The 20,908-nt window shown below is 38.5% G+C and overlaps 1 protein-coding gene across 8 annotated transcripts in view, besides 2 other annotated features; it reads right to left on the reverse strand.

Annotated features, from left to right (window-relative positions):
* TNIK (TRAF2 and NCK interacting kinase) overlaps nucleotides 1-20,908 on the reverse strand; it is a 401,995-nt gene that overhangs the window by 208,426 nt on the left and 172,661 nt on the right. The gene's annotated exons all lie outside the window — the stretch shown is intronic.
* Nucleotides 466-575: an enhancer, noted in NCBI's record as "active region_20812". NCBI's record gives its function as "activates an Ori minimal core promoter by ATAC-STARR-seq in GM12878 lymphoblastoid cells {active_cell/tissue: GM12878}" and the evidence as "EXISTENCE:reporter gene assay evidence [ECO:0000049][PMID:35858748]".
* Nucleotides 18,507-18,566: an enhancer, noted in NCBI's record as "active region_20813". NCBI's record gives its function as "activates an Ori minimal core promoter by ATAC-STARR-seq in GM12878 lymphoblastoid cells {active_cell/tissue: GM12878}" and the evidence as "EXISTENCE:reporter gene assay evidence [ECO:0000049][PMID:35858748]".

The raw sequence follows: 20,908 nt of genomic DNA on the forward strand, positions 1-20,908 counted from the left end.
GGCTTCCTTCTGTTCTCCAAAGCAGATGATTATCATATTTGACTATTTTCACTCAGAGTCTGTTCAGAACAGCCTGGCCAGTGTAAAATCCAAAAACATTTCACTCTCAGATTGCCATGTAAAATGCCTCTCTTATAATGAGAAGCCTAGACAAGGCAAATGGCATTTTCAGCATTATAAATTTTTTCCTCTTGATAAGAAACTGGCACAGATAAATCCATGTTCTATTTCTTAGGATGCATTTAACTTTTTTAAAGGATTCATTTAAAAATTATTATTCAGAATGTAAATTACAGGAGAGTTTTTGATCTAACCATCTTAGGGTTATAGTAGTATTCACTCAATCTGAGTCACGGTAGAAGAACTGGTAAGTACAGAATTGACATCTTGCTAAGAAGAGCCAAGAGGTTCTCAGAAATCCAGCCAAAGCTGCTGGTGTAAGGGCTGCTCTCTTTACCTGGCTTTGTTCAATACAGTACCAAAGAATTCCTGCCTCAGCAGGTTCTGAGAGAAAGTAAAGGGCCAGTCTCTTCCAAAATGAAACAAGATACAGCAAAGGGAATATACTTAATTCAGAAAAGCAGCTTGGCAAGACTGAAAGGAGCCTGAAGTCAAAACTCAGAGACTCCCAGGTCTGATTTATCCTTCTCTCCATTGGCTACATGTTCATAAGCTGAATGTTCCAGTCATGGGAAATGGACGTGAGTTCAAAAATGTGCTAGTGTGACTGTAAAATGCTTTGTCCTCATCTTTCTGATTCCAGAGACTAAATACTTATATGGAAATCAGCCTATTAATAACATCTTATCGTAAGGATAAATTACAGTGCCATCCATGAGCAAAGGACTGGCAATTATCTAGTGACTACAGCCTTTTAGATAGGGCAGGAGAAATAAAGGCAACTTTTTACCTAACTGATATGTGAAAGGAAACAGAGCAAAGTTCTCCACGTTCTCCATGTGTCAGCTTCCTCATCTGTGAAACTCGTTCATTTATTGAACAGGTTTACTGAGCTCCCACCATTTATGCCAGGGTCTGTACTAGGACCTACGGATTCAACAATATTCAAGAAAGACCTCATATCCACTCCCTGCCAATTGCAAGCCTTGCTGATGGCCCCAGAGCCTCAGCCACCCTTTCATTCTTCATCAGAAGAAATTCAGCATGACCCTTCCATTGCACCACATCAAGACTACACTCTGAGGAGTCCTTCTGGAAAACCGTCTCAAAACTTGAGCCTGATTGGGAGTTGATTTGCTCCTCATTTAAAATACAACCCCTCCTCATAGAATATTATGCTTCCCAGTGATACAGTCTCTCATTGACCAAACTTTTAGTCAGGCTCTTCTAAATCCTCTTCCCAACCAGGCCTCGACTTTTGGACTTCCGTGTGTGTCTTTATGTTGCCTAATTTTAGCAAGAGTCCTGACAAGTTGGTTTAGGCAGAATCCCTCACCTTTGCTATGTGATCATCTTCCTCAGCCCCCATCATCCCCCACGTAATATCTGATCATCCTAGCCTGCCTTCAGCCAGAATCCTGTGAGGCCAGTAAACAAGAATTATCCCTACTCCCTTAGTAATTTTCTATCCATTGACCTCCCTACTCTGCTACTTGGCTTTAAATCTCCACCCTGCCACTTGGTGTATTCAGAATTGAACCCTGTTCTATACTAAGGTCTCTTTCCCTATATTGCAAAGGTCCTGAGTAAAATCTCTTTGTACTGCTTTAACTGATGTCCAGCTCTGGTTTTCTTTGATACCAGTCATCCAAACCTGAGCATGAATTACTTCAATCACCCCATGAAATCTAACCTCAAGCAGAGACTAGCTGTAGGAATGGAGTTTTCTTTTGGGAGAAAGACAGAGGGAAAGGTAATCAAAGAAAGAAGGGCTGGGTGGTGTGCTGCAAGGGAAGGCATTGGACAGGCCAGAGGTCCAGGCTCCAGGAAGTAGGAAAGAGAATTGGAAGAGGGACAAAATAGACAATGCCAGTGAAGTTACAGTTGGCAGCTCTGGGAAGTACTTCCATAGCCAAAACAACGGCTGCTACATGGAGTGATGCAAATTCAAAGGCATGGCTCTGTCACAAGAATTTATACTTTCCAGAAGTATATTCACCCACAAGTAGAAAACTTATTTTACCTTCTTTTGCAGAGTAATTCAATTCTCACTTGATATAGCCCACTCAAGTTACCAAAGTTTTCCTATTGACATCTCAATACAAAAATATTCAGGATTATTCAAAGCTCATTTGAAAAACCTCAAAAATTTGTAATTAAAAGTACAAAATGGCAGCATGTTGGCTACTTGAAAAAAATCAAACTATAATTTTTCTTACAATGAAAGGGAGTAATACTGTCTGTAATTTATTTAGAGAGTAGCTAGTATAATGCAGGCATGCATATTAAACACTCTCTCTTTCATTTCATCTGACTAAATGAATAAATACATTATACCATCCAGACACACAGTTGAAACATTTCCCCGAGTATTCTTTAAACACAATGTGCAAGATTGCAATGGCATCATGACTGACAAAAATGACAAAGACGCTGTTAATCAAGTAAATACAAAGCAGCAGCATGAATTATTTATGCCAATAATATTTGTAACCATACAAATTATATATTGATGTTATACTGGAGTGTTTAGTATTTCAGCCAACATACATCACACAATGTTCCCCCAACCTCGATGTTTCATTTCCTTGGATAGCTTTAATTCAGTGGTGGCACTCAAAACAGAACCACAGACACAATATCAGCTTTTTGTTGCTGTTGTCTCAAAATATGATTTCTTTCTTATTATGAAATAGTTATCCCAAAAAGCACAGCTGGGGCTGGTGTTACTTCAGAGCTTCCTACATGAAAGACCACTGAAACAGCCTATGCTGGAGAGATTATAGTTTCACTTTGCTTCATGTTTAGAGGGAAGGTGATATGTGACAATCACTGCTGAAATGGTCTTTACTGACTCTTGCATCAAGGTCAGAATAAAAACATTTTAGGGGAGGGACTACTAAGGCAATTCTTCTAAGGCAAGAACCTCAAATATTTTCCTTCATTAACCTAAAATAAGTTTCAGAGAAGTTTAAGTACACTGAATAACTAGGAAGCTTTTTACTTCTTCATCTATGAGATCAGTCATACTTACCTATGATTCCTCCATCTCAATAGAAAATAAACTCACACACCCACACACATATTCACACATGCATATACACCCACATTTACACACTTACTTTGAGCAGTTCAATTTCTGCTTGGAAACTGTGAAGATAATTATTTATCCTTAGTTAACCCCATCTTTCTAAGTTTAGAAGGAGCTACTCAGATACTGCCACAGTTGGGTAGGTCACTCACTAAATTTTAAGTTCCTTAAGGGCTGGGGGCAACTGGGTCATGAGAATACCCCCGTAGTATCAATATTTACAATACTGTTTGGTTACTAAGTTGGAGTGGATTCTTAATGAGCAATTGGACCACTTAGGAAAAGGCTAGAAGACAGTACTACATCTTCCTCACTGACAGCTACTTCCCTGTTCATACAGAGATGGAATGTATGTGGAGCACCACTATAGAGCGACTGTTAACATGGAGAGGAAAGAGGCCAGAGAGAAAATGCCTGGTGACTTCTCCAAAAATACCCACATCGTTAGTGAGGCATTCCCACCTAAATATCACACCAGCAATTGAAATCAGACCCAAAGTAAAATTCGTCTCTAATCGCCAACTATCTTTCTCAAATTCTCCTTATGCCTTTACATGTGTTAATTTCATTTCCTGAAATACCCATCCCCATCTTTTCTCACTCCTCTCTCACCCCTGCCTACTGCCCCAGCTGTTTCCTGACAGGTATAGTTGTTAGCCACAAAAAATAGGGGTTGAATCCTACCTCTATACCACTGTCTAGTTGGATGATTTTGGGAAAGTTACTTCACACTCAGTGCCTCAGTTTTTTAATCTACATAATGGGGATAATAAAGGTTCCTGCTTCATAGAGGTTAAATGAGTTAACAGATGTAAAGTGATTACAACAGAGTCTGGCACATAACAAGTGGATTTTAAATGATAGTCATTATTGTTCCTGTTATTTCATTTCACAATGGTACTTTGCAAGTGCATTTAATACAACACTCATTTGTTTACCTTTCTGGCTCTACTGCTAAGCTGAATTCAGGGATATTTCTCACTCACTCTGCATCCTCTGAGTACACTGCCTGATACATGGTAGAGACTCACTACATCTGAGAGGGAGAGATTGGGTTCTGGCTTACCCTAAGGACAAGCTTATTCTTACTGTGCCAGGGTTTGAAACCTCAGTCTTCAAGTTCTGCAACAATTCTTTTCTAATTGCGCACGTTTCCTACCTGTGTTGCCAACTCTAATAGTTCTAGCATTTACTTGCACTTCTGCATTATTCTTAGAATTTTCTAAGAGCCAGATACTTTTTAAAAAGAAAATAGTAATTATTGGCTTCACTCCAAGATCATAAACATCAAGTTCAAGCTCCCCTGCCTGGTACCGAGACTCATTTACAAGAAGATCCAGACAACTTTCAAACATCATTTCCATGACCTATCCAATACACACCCTCTAACTCACCTTGTGTGTCCTGTCTCCAAGCCTATGCTAAAGATGGGCCTTCACCCTGGAAACACTTATGTCCATCTGTTCAAATCTTACTTGTTCTTCAAGATTAAAACCAAATGCCATTTCCTCCATAAAAACACTTCTCAAAATTAATCTCTACCTCTCATGTGTTCCCAGAGCACTTTTTATGGGAAAGCTATTTTATTAAAATATTTATGACTGTTTTGACTTTTGTTATTTATATGTATTAAGTTCTTAAAGGAAAGGGACCATGTCTTAATCATGTCTAAATCCAGAAATGTGCCTAGAACAGTGTGCTACAACCTATTATATATAACTTTCAAACCCGAATTTAAAAGAAAAAATTAATTGACATGTAAGATGCTAGGACTCACATCTGTTTACAAAAAAAATTAGATTTAAATAACTAAGTTCCAATTATGTTTAATTCTCAGAATTACCTTTGAGCATTAGATTCTTGCCTGAACCCCTTAAAGAATTAAAGTCTGCTTTATGTGCTTTCCTTGACACAACAGGCACCCAAAACATTTGTTAAACTTAATTGTTGAATTGTTTCTTTCTGGGAAGTTCAGGAAACTGGGTCCATAGAAGGAGTCCATATGATTATAGCCACCACCCGGAGATGGTAAAGGCACTACGTGATGACAGCGAGAGAAAAGAATAGACAAACTAGCTTCCTCTGCTGGTTCCTGGCCACCATGCAAACACATGCATCACTTACAGACTGTCTTTGACTTTCCCCCATCCCACCCGACTGGAGCCATGACTGGTGTTGGGACTAACAAAGTCCTCCTGTTGAGGTCTGCAGGGCAAGGTGTGGGTACCAAGGGCTTCAATGACAGAGAAGGCAATTGCAGTATCAATCTCTGGAGAATTCCAAGATCCAGAAGCCAGGCCTGAGAAAGAAATGTTCACATTTAAATTATGAGCTAGAGCTCTTCAGCCATGAATTGCTAAGGGGTCTTTCCTAAGATGGCACCGTACACATCGAGACAGTTGGGGAGCCATGAAGGAAAATCCCTGAAGTGTCCGTTTGGTCTTTTGATGCTGTCCCATAAATCCTATATGTTTTTCTCATTTCTTTTGTTTTTTTCTCCTCTGACTGTACATTTTTAAATAACCTGTCTTCAAATTCACAGATTCTTTCTTCTACTTGATCAATTCTGCTGTTGATGCTTTGTCTTGCATTTTCATTTCCTTCATTGTATTTCTCAGTGCCAGAATTTGATTTTTTTTATTTCAATCTCTGTTAAATTTCTCATTCTGGTTACTTATCGTTTTTCTCATTTCACTGAGTTGTTCCTCTGTGTTTTCTTGAGGTTCTCTGAATTTCCTTAAAACCATTATTTTGAATTGTTTGTCAGGCAGTTCATATATCTCCATTTTCTTAGTGTCAGTCACTGGCACTTTATTTTGTCCCTTGGGTGAGGTCAGGTTTCCCTGATTGTACCCTTATGGCCACGTACTGATGTTTGTGCATTTGAATAAATAGATATTCCAGTCTTCACAGATTGGCTTTGTCTGGGAACACCTTCAACAGCCCAACCAGAGATTCTGGTCAGGACATCTGATGTATGATCAGAAGCCCATGGCTGCTAGGGCCAGTGTGGCGCTCACACAAGTTAGAAGCCCAGGGGAGCACCAGAGCAAGCTGAAAGACCCAGGCCACTGAGACCTCTGTGCTGCTGACAACTGTCTAAATTCCAGGGGTGCTAGAGTCAGCCCACTAGAGATGCGGACCAGAGATCAAGTCTGCCTCAAAAGTCTAAAGCCTGGAGCTACAGGGACCCACCTGATGCCAAGGTGAGTCTGGAGGTTCAATCTGTGGGTACCAGCCATAGTCTTGGGCCATGGAGGCCTTCCTGGTTCTGGGCTTTACTGTAGTGGGCCTGGTGTTGGGGTGCAAGGCAAAGTCTTGTGCTTACTTCCCTCTCTTTTCCCAAAGTGGACAGTATCTTTCTGCATTGTGCTGCCTGGGGCTGGGGTAGGGGTGATGCAAGTGAGTAATGTAGAACTGTCCCTCCTACCCTCTTCAATGCATCTTTTCATATTATGCTACAACCAGGTACTATGATCTCTCACTTGGTTTCCTCAGCTCTTAAGAAGGTATTTTCACGCATGGATAGTTGTTCAAATTAATGTTTCTGTGGAGAGATGATCACTGGCGAGTCCTATTCTTCCATCTGCCCCCTCTCCACAGCCTATAGCTTAATAACTTTTTAACTCTGAGAGTCTCAAAACTTGAGACTCAAAGTTTTATGTTGCTCAAAAAACCCGACCTTTTTAAAAAATAAAAATGTGAATAGAGCCTTAAGAAAGTGGTATAGAAATGGTAAGAGATGTCATGACAACTGATAATGAACCTTGCAAACTATTTGTTCTGTTTTGGTTTTCCAGGAGGGACATTAGAGTGAGAATATCTGTGAATTAACAGCCTGATTTACTTTAAACTTTCATGAAGAAGCCTGAAACAACAATGAAGACATAAGTTTTCCTAAGAGATTAAGCACTGTCACCCCAATATCCTGATTTCTCTACCTCATCTTACAGAATATAGACATATATCCACAAGGAGCAATATGAAATTGGAGTGAGAAAGTGAGTTAGCTTCCATTTTCAAAAATGTTTATTTCTGTGTTTAAAGTGAAACAAGAGCCCCAGGGCCCTCTATCCCAGAGGAAGACCAACCTGTGAGCATTCTTTAGCATACAAGGAAAACGCTTAACAAAGGGAAAGGCACACAAGAAACATGAACATCCTCATTCCAATTTTCTGTAATTCTCAAGAATTAATCTGAGATGTCTGGATTTTTCAGGGCTGAAAAGCAAGGAACATCACATGAAGCTACTCCAACTTATCAAAATACAATTTATTGTCAGAGTTATAGATAAACTGAGCCACTCTCTCTCAGGTTGCTTATAGAGACCGAGCCCAGGAAGGACTGGAAACCACTTCAGAAGCAACTCATAGCTACTGGCTGCATAATGAATGAGAAGATATCTTCTACAGCCCCTTGAGTCTCAGCCAAGCATCACACAAGCCAGGAGGGGGAAGTTAAGAAAAGTAAAGTAATATAAAAATGTTATAATATAAGATAGAAATATGGTCCTAGCAGCCTGAGTTTCAAGTAATTCTCAGATAGATGAAGGTTAAATTGGCAGGCCAACATATATGCAGCTATAAAATGGACAGCAGAATAAAATATTGTCTAATAATTCAAAATAGAAATGTAGAAAACAATATTGTGACTACCAATTGACCACACAAGTTGATCTTGATCTTCTCTTCTTTAATCAACCTCACTAAATTGAGTTAAGAAATTTAAAATGGCATAATATCCTGAGGAGGTCCAAATAAGCCTCTTTCTAAAAGAGACAAAATGGAAGGGTGATAATTAATGAAACAGGGCAGAAGAATCTACAGTGTAGAAATTTATGGGCAGGACCCAATTAATCTTGCAAAACTGGGCAAAACTTGAGATTCTTCGAAGGCCAGAGAATGAGCATGAGCTGTGAGGCAGGAAAAACAAATTATCTGAAATCATGTATGTGAGGCAACCAATCATTAACCCCTACCCTATGCCCCTCTCCATTCTGCCAACTAATAATCTCTCTTTTTTCTCCTCCCTCTCCTCCTCTCCATCAACCCAGACACCACCTACCCCCAACCACACACACACATACAAAAAGAAATTTGGAGCAATCTTTTAAAAAGAAATTGGAAGATTCAGAGAAAAAGCACATTCAGACACCAACTCATTCAAATATCATAAAACAAAGCCCACATAGAGAGTCACAAGGCAGCTGTTTAATGGCTTCACTCTTAATTATGAATAGCCAATCATGGTTACCAGTTATATGAAGAAAGCCTCCAACAAGAAAGAATACAAATGAGATGAATAAATGGAGGAAATAGTTCTGAAGGAAATACACATAAGACAGGCAATAGAAAAGAATTTCAAAAATTTAAAAGAGAGCCAAGAAAATATTATAACCATAAAACAAGAAGAGAATGCTATGAAAATGGAAGAAGTAAACTAGAAAAAATCTTACTAATAGAAAATTATTTTTAAAATTAAATAGAAGGATGAATCAGAAAAGATTCTAATTTCTCACAAAATTATGACTTGATTTCAGAATTTGAAGTTATCATAAAATGTGTTTCCATATAAAAAGAGGAAAATCTGTAGTCCCAGCACTTTGGGAGGCCAAGGTGGGCGGATCATGAGGACAGGAGATCAAGACCATCCTGGCTAACATGGTGAAACCCCGTCTCTACTAAAAATACAAAAAAATTAGCCGGGCGTGGTGGTGGGTGCCTGTAGTCCCAGCTACTCGGGAGGCTGAGGCAGGAGAATGGTGTGAACCCGGGAGGCGGAGCTTGCAGTGAGCCGAGATCGTGCCACTGCACTCCAAGCTGGGCGACAGAGCGCGACTCCGTCTCAAAATAAATAAATAAATAAATAATAAAAAATTAAAAAAATAGAGGAAAATAAAGAAACTGGCCCTCTACAAAGGAATAGGAATTAGAATGGTATTAGACTTTTCAAGAGCAAGCCTGAAGACTGCAGACAAATGTAGTTCCTACTGAGAAGTTACTCTTCCCCTCCACTCCATTCTCAACACCCACTCCACAAATGCTGAAGAAAGGAGCTGGACGAAAATAATTTTCATCTTAGAATTCTATATTCATCCTAATCATCAACCAAAGATGAAAATAGAACAAAACATTTTTAAACATTCAAAGACTAAGAAAAGTTAGCCCCTCCACACCCTTTTATAGGAAGATCATTGAAGATATGTACAACCAAAATGAAGGAGTGAACCTGAAATGAAGACAGGATAGTTTTCAGGAACCAGTGGATCTGAAGGAGGAACTTCCAGAGTGACAGGTAAGCATCAAGCCTAGGGAGCAGAAAGATGGAGGAACCTGTGGAGGAGGGGCTGGGAAAAAACTCCATCAAAGTGAACTTGGATGTCGGAAAATGTCAAAAGTGGAAGCTGTGATTAAAGGGTCAAAAGCATAAGGGAAAATGGCATTTGGAAATTCCATAAAAACAAACAGCCATACGAACAAGAAAATTAAACTATAATGATCATTAGCTCCACTATAAATAGGTCACAAATAATATTTATTGATTTTCAATTTTTAGAATTAACCTTTTGATAAAGCTTAAAGACTTAAATGTACTTACAAAATAAAATGAAATATCATGATCTGTATTATATAAAAGTAAAAAGAAGTGGAGAGTGCAGGGGTGCCAAGAGCCTAATTTTACAAAGTAGGGAATCTAAAAGATACTGTTTGGTAATAAAAAATTCATCAAGATGCATACTTAAGAAGTAAACTTTTAAACTATGAATGTTTATTGCAGTAAAAAGTAGAGAAACAAAAAACAAATTATATCATGTGTTCGGAGAAATTGGCATGTGAGGATATCGGAAAACTAAATTCCTATCTATTTTAGCAGAAAGTCTATGCTTTAGATTGCTATACTTTAAATGTGTCCTTCCAAGTTCATGCAATGGAAATGTAATCTCCCATGCAACACTGTTGAGAGGTGGAAGCTTTAAGAAATGATTAGGTCATGAGGGCTCTGCCCTCACGAATGAATTAAAGTGATTATTTCAGGGGTGGGTGACACAGGATAAACGTGGCCCCCTTCCCTTCTCTCCCTTGTGCATACTCTCATCCCACGTGGTGCCTTCAGCCATGTTATGATGCAGCAAGAAGGCCCTTATGAGATAGAGCCCCTTGACCTTGAGATCTCAAACTTCCTAGGCTCCAGAACTGTGAGCCAAAAAACTTCTATTGTTTATAAGTTATTCTCATTTCTCTATAAATTATGGCATTCTGTTATAGCAGCACAAAACAGACTAAGACACTAATAAATTAAGAAACAACAATAAAAGCCTATTTCATTGAGATTTGAAGATAACATTCAGAATAGCTAAAAGAGAAAAAAGTAGTTGCTTTTGGGGAACAGGTTCGGGAAGTATTAATTAGAAATGTGTTACTTTTAGACAAGGCCTAACACTATTTTGATTAAAAAAAAAACAAATTTCAGAGAAAATAATATTGTAAATGTACAACGTATCAGCAACTTACCAGAGGAGTTTCTGTGGGCTGGTTTAGGAAATGAATAATTGTTTATAGCAGGGGTTAGCAAACTAAACCCTGCTCAGTGCCTGTTTTTGTAAATGAAGTTTTAATGGAACACAGTCACACACATTTGTTCACATATTGTGTAAGTCTGCTTTCTGCTACAACAGTAGAGTTGAGTAGTTGCAACAGAGACCTACAGACTGCAAAACCTAAAATATTTACTATGTGGCCCTTTATAGAAAAGGTTTACAGATCTCTGATTTGAAACACTAATTTTCTGGGAAAATGTTATCTATAGCCAAGCTGACTTTTTAAAAAGAGTCAAGCCAGATGCAGTGCTGTGCACCTGTGGCTACTCAACTCAGGAGGTTGAGTTGGCAGGATCGCTTGAGCCCAGGATTAGAGGCTGCAGGGAGCCATGATCATGCCACTGCACTCCAGCAGGGGTGACAGAACAAGTCCCTGTCTCAAACAAACAAACACAACAAAACAGGTTCTAAGTTGGGGGCTGCCTCTCTCATGCACATATAGCTCACCCGATGGGGACGAACATGACATGCCTCGAGACCTAGTGTCTAATGTTTTCTGACTGGGACATGTAAAAGGGGATTTGTGGGCCCCAGTTGGGTATATGCACAAGATCCCTCTCTCCCTTTCACAATAATGGAAAAAGTCTGTCATGAGACTAGAATTCTCCTAACCTTTCAGATGACAGTAAGAACCCAGCCCTTGTCTTTTAATTGCTACATGCTGTCCAAAAAAGAGCAGCCTTTACATGCTCACATAACAATGAATTTCTGCTTGTTTCTCAATGTGGATATGAGAATGAAGCTTATCAACATCAACATAAGTATTCAGCATTCTAGGCCAAAGACTCAGCAGCTGGGCATTCAAAGATATCCTATAGATACTTATTTTTTTAAAAAAGATAAAAAAAATTTAAAAACATAAAGAAACCAAAAAAAGCCACACTAGTCTGAATGCCATGACCTTGGTCTTTCTCATCACAATCCTTTAAATTGCCATATAACCTGGAGGTAAATCCAATTCATGGGAAGACCAAATAGGAAAGTAAGTGATAGTCTGCTAAGGAAACCATTAAAAAACAGGAGTATCCTCCCAAATGACAAGGGGTGACTTTGCCTAAATTATGTATTAAGAATTAATATCAAACAATCATACCTCTTAGCATTAGCTAGTTCACAGTAGGTCTTTCTGCACAGAAACCACTTGACTGTCAAAAGAACTTATGCTTGTGACAAAAACTTTTATTCCATATCTGGGATTCTCAGTGGATATGAGATGTTAGAGGGTATAGAATTGTATCAGAATTTCAGGGTGGAGGGGGATATTTTTAAATGATACTGCCCCAAGTTAGTGAGAAATTGTACAGTACTGAGCACTATTATTGATTGGAGCCTGTTGCATACCTCAGGCAGGCTGATGAGGAAGCATTACACAATTCTTCTTTTTAGGGGAGAACAAGTCTTCTAGCAGGATTTCCTAATTCTTGGTATTTGGATGAAGAGTTTATATGCAGACATTATTGGACAAAATCATGTCTAACTAGCAAAAAGAAAAAAAAAACCTAAAGGTAAACAAATTTTGAAAGTGGGATGTTAATCTATTACTTCTAGCTTTAAAATAAACTAAAACAAAAGTCATCTGAAGATATCTACCAAGACATATTTTTAATGAGATCCTCCTATAAAGTGTTTATAGTTTGCTTTTTTCTATTTACTTTGTTTTCAAATATTTCCATGTCCATAAACATAAAATTCTATATATTTTTAATATCTTCATTTAACATCCTTGTAGACAGTTTAGGCTTTTGGTCAAATTGTTTTTAGACACAGAACTCCTAGGTCAAAGGACTTATACTTTTTTAGGATATTTGATAACAGCTCTCCTAACTGATCTTCCAAGAATTATACCGATTTGCCCTCCCACTGCAAATACATGATTGTGCCACATAGCCACCCCCTTGCCAACTCTGGCTATTGGCATCCATTTCCAATACTGCTAATTTAATGACTCTCAAAATGGTTCATAATTTGGTCAGGGCTTTGAGCTGCTCTATCCAAGGCAACTATTAAGTGCACTTAACATTTTTTGACAATAGCAATGACGATGATGATGATGATGACAAATGCCTTTGTTCTAAGCATTTCACACCTATCATTTACTTAATACAGCAACCCTACATGGGGGTATTATGATCATCTCCATTTTGCAGATGAGATGAACTGAATTACAGAGAGATTATTTAAATTGCCCAAACCTACAAAGCTAATAGGAGGTAAAACTGGGATTCAAACACATGTAGTCTGGTTCTAGACTCCTTCAGAATCTATCTTACTCCCCCAGGTATCAGTACATACCTACTAATAGTTCATGCACCATAAAGAAAAAGATCCATCCACTCCTGCCCTCAGGAAATGTTACAGTTCTACAGTTCTATAAGTGTGAGCTAACTTGAATACAATTAGCCAAGTACTTTCCCATCTGGAATCTGTTCCCTTTTGAATTAGAATCTATGTCTCGCACGTTCCCTCCCGGCTATGTGGCACTCATGAATGGATGGGCACCACACCCCATATCACACCAGTCAATCTGCCACATCCTTCTGCTTCACATCTCTTGGCATGGCCTTAACCCTTGCCTAGGAACCAGATAATCATGTGAGTCTTGACTGAGACTCAACAGTTCTCACAGCTGCTGACCACTGTAGATGAGAATTTTTGAACTGGGTGAGAAAAATCTTGGGTTCTAAGAGGCAACAGAATACCCTGTACCAGGCTCTGGCTTCCTGGGTCCACCACTTACAAGTTATGTGTCTTTGGATCAGGCACTTAACCTCTGTGAACCTCAGTTTTTAAAATCTGTGAAGTGGAGACAATATTTACAGCTCATAGTGTGATGTAAGGAAATGTGCTAACATGCTTAGCACTGTGCCTGGCACATACTATATTGTTGGTCAATAAAAGTTATTGTTATTTACAGATGTTTCAAATCTTGGTTCCTTTTGTTATTCCTGTTGATACCAACTTGAAAATTATCATGACACTATGAAGTCTAAACTGTCTCTAAATTAAAAAAAAAAAAAACTGTATCCAAAAGAATGATCTTTCAGAGATAAACCAAAAGATGAAATAAAAGCATCCATCACTTTAAAAGACAATGTTGATATATAACATTATATAAAATGTTCTTAATATCAGATCTATAAGCTTTAAGACTATCCTGTTACCATAAATCAGAGCTAATACTTTATTACTGATAAAGTAAAAATAGATATTTCTCTATTACTATATGTTACTATATATGCTGTTATGTTACTATAATGCTGACCATGGCTCTACAGGAATAACCTAGACAAAATCTAGAACACTCAGTAAAGCAGATGGTGCTTAGGAACCTACTGAATAAACAGTCTCAGCTACACTTTCAGTAAGTATCCCTTTGGAGAAGCTAAGGAATAATCATGTCTTTATGGAATGGCATAGTATTAAACAAAAATAGATTTTATCTATTAGTAGGAAACATTCTGGTTCAATTGAGATGGACTAGATCTAGGGTCCCCAGGTTTTGCTTGGATAGAAGTTACTTTCTATTTCTCTTTGGCCTCAAAAAAAAAAATGGCAGTCTGAAGGTAAAGCATTGTAATAGAAGAGAAGAAAGGTCGGTGACAGCCTCCCATGCCCTTTCTCATATAAAAAACCTTAAAGTTGGTGAGGAAGAGAAATGGCATTACACAGTCAACAAGCTTTGACCATATGAGACCACAATTTTTCAACTAGAAGTTTCCTCAGGGTAGCACAGTATATAAGAACTTTGTTTTCAAGACAGAGGTTAGTTCAATTCTGGTGCTGCTATTTATCAGCTGTGAAATCATGAGCAAGCTATTTATCTTATTTAAGTCTCAGTTTCTTAATCTACAAATGGGGATAGTAATAGAATCTACCACATAGGACTTTTGTGAGGATTAAATAAAGGAATACACTGTACATACAGTGCTTACAGGTGCTTCTTCCACAAGGAATGGGCAGTACACTTTAAGTATTATTTATATTTCTGATATCCCAACAGTTAACACTAAACCGTACCAAGTATACATTATTTTGCTCTCTCTCACACAAATATACACATATATAAACAAGTCACACAGTCCCAACCCTGAAGGTCAACGAGGATAGTGTTTGCTACCCTTGTAGAGTACAATCTTTAAACTGTGATGACAAGACAATAAATTTTCCCAACCATTTGAATGAGCTTTGGAAGTGGATTTTTTACTTGAGCTTCCAGAAAAAAAGCCCAGTCTGGCTGATGCCTTGAGTTAGCCTTATGAGCATTGAAGCAGAGAACCCAGTTGAGCCTGACTGAATTAGTAACTATAGAAATGTACACTAAGAAATGAAGGTTGATTTTGGCCAAAAAATAATAATAATAATGGTAACTGTGATAATGTGAACTGGCATCCTCTCCCCCACTTACAGCAGACTTGAGGTTAATCTAGAGAATGAATTTTGGGCTAGAAGAAATCATCCAGTCCACAATCAGTGTCTTCAATTCTAGAATCAATTGAAATATTTGCTTATCATCAAAATAACATTTTCTTCAAGGCATTAGTCCAAGATCTGTATCCCAGCGAATCACAAAGAGGAGAAAGAAGAGCCAGCACAGAGTATTTATAGGTCACTGACTTGGTGCACAGCCAGAAGATTTTTTTTAACCAACATTTCTGCCAAAGGAACTATCTGCAGATTCTCTTAATGGTTTTTTGTTTTTTTTTTTTTTTTTGAGATGGAGTTTCGCTCTTGTTGCCCAGGCTGGAGTACAATGGCGCGATCTCAGCTCACTGCAACCTCCAACTCCTGGGTTCAAGCACTTCTCCTGCCTCAGCCTCCTGAGTAGCTGCAATTATGGGTGCCTGACACCACGCCCAGCTAATTTTTTTGTATTTTTAGTAAAGACGGGGTTTCGCCATGTTGGCCAGGCTGGTCCCGAACTCCTGGCCTTAGGTGATCCACCTGCCTCGGCCTCCCAAAGTGCTGGGATTACAGGCATGAGCCACCACGCCCGGCCTCTTAATCGTATCTTAAAGCATTTTAAAAATAACAAATGAAACTGAAAAAGATAAATCGAGGTATCTAAGCAGTTACACTGAACTCATTTCTGAAGCTCATGGACAAACTATGTAAAATCTCAAGAGACTGAAAACTATTTTCTATTCTCAAGATTCAAAGTAAAAACTTAGAATACAAAACTCTAAGAAAGAGAAGGCAGAATGGTGGCAGCTCCAGAGGGTGGGCAGAATCCTAATCTTACAACAGACCTGGGCAATTGCTGCTGTTAATTCTACCAGCAGAATGATGTAGGAGGGCTCCTTACAGCCTGGGCCCGCCTTATATTCTCTGCACAATCAGAGTGGAACCTGGGCACCTATTAGTCCCTTTCCATGCTATCTTCCTGTGAAGATTCTTATGAATAAGAAAACGTGACCTTTATCAAGGAATAATTTTATTCAAATTGTGTAAACTGGATATTTTCCACAGTTTCTTGTCAGGAGGTGGGCAGAGAAGTTAAATTTTATACCTACTTTAAAAAAAAAAAAAAGCCCCTCATGTAATGTTAGCAACTGACCAAATACTCCTTGGATTTCGTGTCTGGAGAGAAGGAACTAAGAAAACATACAGTTCTCTGAAATGTTTCCTGGATTCTTTCCTCTTTTTCCACAAAAATAGAACTACTCTTTTTCTTTTTTCTTTTTTCTCTTTTGATGGGGGATGAGGATTATACAGAAGATTTGGCAACCTAAATGAACATGAGAGAAAGCCAATAGTATAACTAAAGGAAGGGGATCGCCAAAACCATTCACTTAGGGGAATTTCAAACTTTGGTGCTAAAGCTTCCAAATAATCAGCATCACCATTCACCAAGGAGCAGAGGAGTTCGGTCTTGCTGACTGCCAGTTAAGGGCTCTGAAAAAAGACAGTCTCCTTGGCAGCCGTTCCAACCTGGCTCCTGCCCCCTGTGAACCAAGGAAAAGTGGAAATCTAATTCCATGTAGCCTGGAAGAAACCTTACAGGTCCAGGGCTGTGGAGAGGTCGGGTGAGGAACAGGAGTTCCCACCATGCCACTAGGGTTCTGGAAGCCCTGGGAAGCTGCCAGTGGCACTGCAGCACCAGGAACTGGTTCCTAGAGAACTGCCTCAAATCAGACACACATAAGGAAGTCAGGCAGTGATGGCGCTGCATGGGAATACAAGCAGAACAATCTCCTCAGAACTACTTCGAGGGTACTGTCTCTCAGCCATCTTCCAGGTTTTCCACAACCCACAAAGGTCTTTCAGGTGGGTATAATTTGGGGTTACTTGTTAAGATGGAGTTACAGCACAGCTTCATTGGCAAAGACAATGGGATCTCATATCTAGAAACAAAACTTTCTGGGTTTCACCATTTGCCCGTTATCCCCTGAGAAACATCAGCATCACCTGTTAACTTGCTTGGGAATGCAAATTCTCAGACCCAACCGAGACCTATGAATCTGAAACTCTGGAGGGGGGCGGCAGGGAGGAGGGCAGGAATTTGTGTCTTAGCCCCTCATTGTTAAGATTCTGATGCACACTAAAATTTGAGAACCATTGAGCATTCTAGAGCAACACAATTTCATGAAAAAATAGCTTTGGAAACAGCATCTGGATATTAGGCAAAAATATGTGCCTGAATAGAAGAAACACACTCCGTTCATAGTAGGGTTCTATTCCCCAATTTTTTAATTTAGTAGTTCTTTGTGAAAAATGTCCTCTCACATGCAGCATTTTAAAATGAGAAATCTGGGGCCTTCTCAACCAACTTCACACCCGCTTTCCAGGGCAGCTCAAAACAAATTACTGATAAATCAACATGGGGCACTCTGAATCATCAGTCCGTCTTTAGAACTCCCCACATGGTCAGCTGAGGCATTCCATTGAGAATGCATCATGTCTTGACTTCTCTCTCTGGCCAATCCTGCCGTCATTGCATTTCTTAATAAACCTCCTGCATGCTAAAAAAAAAATAAAAAATAAAATCAAATGAGCAATTTATTGCAAATAGCCAGTCCCAAAGAAATCCTTTTGCCTTTGTTGTTTCCCTCAAAATTGCACATTATTTAAGGGGCCTGTCTTTTACACATTTTTATTAGCACCTAGAGCAATACAAATCCTCCACAAACTCTAGCAAATATGTATTAATACAGTAATAAGTAATTCTAAGAGCAAGCACTCAAATTAGTAAGGTCTGGTTTCCTGTAGATTACTAAAGCAGGGAAGGAGTAAGGGGGAGAACTCAGAGAAAGCGTGCGCTGACTAAAAGACAGAAAGGAAGCAGAAAATTTATTCTGAGCAGATGCCAAGACTTTGCCACATGCTTACAGTAAGAGAAATGGAGAGCAGAGAAAATTATTTTTAAAACCTTCTTTCCTTGAGAACTAAGTTATCATAGCCCTGCTTTAAGATATTAGGTAAATACTTTTTCAATGCAAGACATAGGTGGACCCAGAATATTAGCAAGAAATGTGCCTTAAATTATTTAAAGGATACAGACTATTTATTTTCCATGGACAGGAATCATCTGTCTTCATTCATAAAATTCAAGCTGATAATTTTTTGATAAAACTGTTTTCTTTATAAATTGTTAATAAATAAATAAATTGTTGATAATGTATCATTTCTACCCAAGACTGGAACAAACACATCAGCCACTTAAATTCCTCAGCAATACTTAGGCTGCTGAATTTGTTATCAGTGGTAATATATGTTAGCTTGCCTGACTTTAACTGCATCTCCTCAAAGAAAAACGTAGATGAGAAAGTAAAAGTGTAGAGGTGGTGTGGTAGAGTGGAAACTGATGAGCTTTTCCGAAGTAGAGCTGGATCCTAATGCCAGCAGCTATATTGTTATGACTAAGTTAATTGACACTCAGGACTGTTTTCTCACCTATACAGTGAAGGCTGTGGCACAGTTTAAATGTGTTCATGTGTGTACAGTGCCTGTAAGATGATAAACACCAAATCAGTATTATTATTATTAAGAGGCACCCATTTTCATTTTAAATCAATTTATTAGATGTTAATAAAATTAACCCCTATTCCTCCATTCTGCCTTCCATTATTTGGCAGATAAGAAAGCTCTGGCCCAATTGTTCTCAACTCTGGCTGTATATTACAATCACTTGAAAGTTCTTGTGTGTTTTTTTAACTGCCATCTCGCCACAGAACAACTGGATCAGTGTCTGGGGCAGGCCCCAGGCCTTGGTGATTCTGATGTAGTCGGAGAGTTGAGAAATACTATTCCAAATGGATTCTTTACCAAAATCACTTCGGGGCAAATTGGCTATTCTGGAATTTGATCATTTGATGGTTTGGCCTGCTCATCCTGAAGGATCAGGAGGATACAGCCTTATCCTATCTTAGCATTCTTGGGAGATGTCTAGTACACCCTATGGCAAAATAAATACTATTCCATATTTCCTGGTTAGCCTTTGCTGGGGAGAGAGGGGAGAGGGGTATATGTCTGATGATGAGCCATTGAAGGAGAACATCTGAATTAACTAAAGATGGTGGAAGAGACAAAAGATTAGGTTAGCTATTATACTTTAAAAACTTCTCCTTCTCCTCCTTCTTCATCCACCACTGTAACAGATATCTGAGGAGTCCCTACTATAGTACTTAGAAAACTAACTGAAAATAGGACAATTCATGAATGCCCTGACTCGTTACATGGAAATTCAATAGGGAAGGATCTATTCAGGTATCTCTGGAAGAAGAAGGTCTTCCCATACTTCTCCACAATTTAAGTCATTTTTCATAGTCTAAGAATATAAGAGTATATATTGTACAGCCTGGGCAACATGGTGAAACGCCATCTCTACTAAAAATACAAAAATTAGCTGGGTGTGTTGATGCACACCTGTAATCTCAGCTACTGGGGAAGCTGAGGCACAAGAATCACTTGAACCCAGGATGCAGAGGTTGCAGTGAACTGAGATTATGCCCCTGCACTCCAGCTTGGGCAACAGAGCAAGACTCTGTCTCAAGAAAACAAACAAACAAGAAGTAGACATTGTAAATTGAAACATAAAACTTTAGAGGCAGAAATGTCACCTTGGAGAGCAAACAGATATTTAATATTTGTTCTCAATCAACATTACCTGATACCAGTTACCAGCCAGGGTTATGCAAGGTACTTCTATTTACACAATCTCATTTATGACACAATGTTGTAGTTTGAAGAGCTCTGTGTGCTGTTATAGTCAGGGAGTCCTCTTGTAATGATCAATTGCTACAGCAATTTAAACCTTCTTTAACTTAGGTTTATGATGCTAGAATTTTACTTTTTGTATTCATATCTGTTTTTATGGCGTACTGTTGGTAAGATGGTTTATATGATGCCAAGTCTTTGGTCAGAAAAGATGCTGCTTTCACAATGTTGTTCTCATAGAAAAACATAAATCACTTTGTGGTATTGTTTCCAAGAACATGCTAAGGCAAGTAGGGGTTTTCCCTACAGTCCTCAGGGCAAGTTCAAGATTATTCTGGGTATTATATGCTGCTGCAAATATTTCTTCCCATAGGCCAACTGAAAAACTCAAAACAAAACAAAAACAGAAACAACAAAAAAAACCCTCAAAATTGAACAAAAATTCTCATTTTCATTGTTAAGAAAATTTTCAACTATTAGTTATGTTGTCAAGTCCTATTTTTATCATTGATTCTTTTCAAATTCAATATATCTAAAATGTGGACTCAGATGTATCTAATCAACTATTTTTGCAGCTTTTCCTTTGCTTTTAATGCAAACTCTAGAATAAGAACATTTAAGAAGGTCACCCCAGCTGTGCACAACCTGAATCCAACAGGATTCCAACAGGATACTTGGCTTTAACTTAGAATGTTGGCTTTAACTTGGAGTAATGGCATGGAAGTCTCCTAACAATTTCCACTATGTGTTATGAATAATCTAGAACTTTACTGGAGATTTTACTCTATTTTACAGTGATATGGCTTTAAAAGACTATAAGTTTTGATTCCAAACAAATCTAGTGCAATAGCAGGTCAACTAAGGTCTTGAATTTCATTTAGTATTTTATTCGAGATCAGTATTTACAGTACTGACAAAACTATTTAAGATCATCAAAGTCAGTGAAC

The sequence above is a fragment of the Homo sapiens genome, chromosome 3, assembly GCF_000001405.40.
Source record: "Homo sapiens chromosome 3, GRCh38.p14 Primary Assembly".
NCBI lineage: Eukaryota > Metazoa > Chordata > Mammalia > Primates > Hominidae > Homo > Homo sapiens.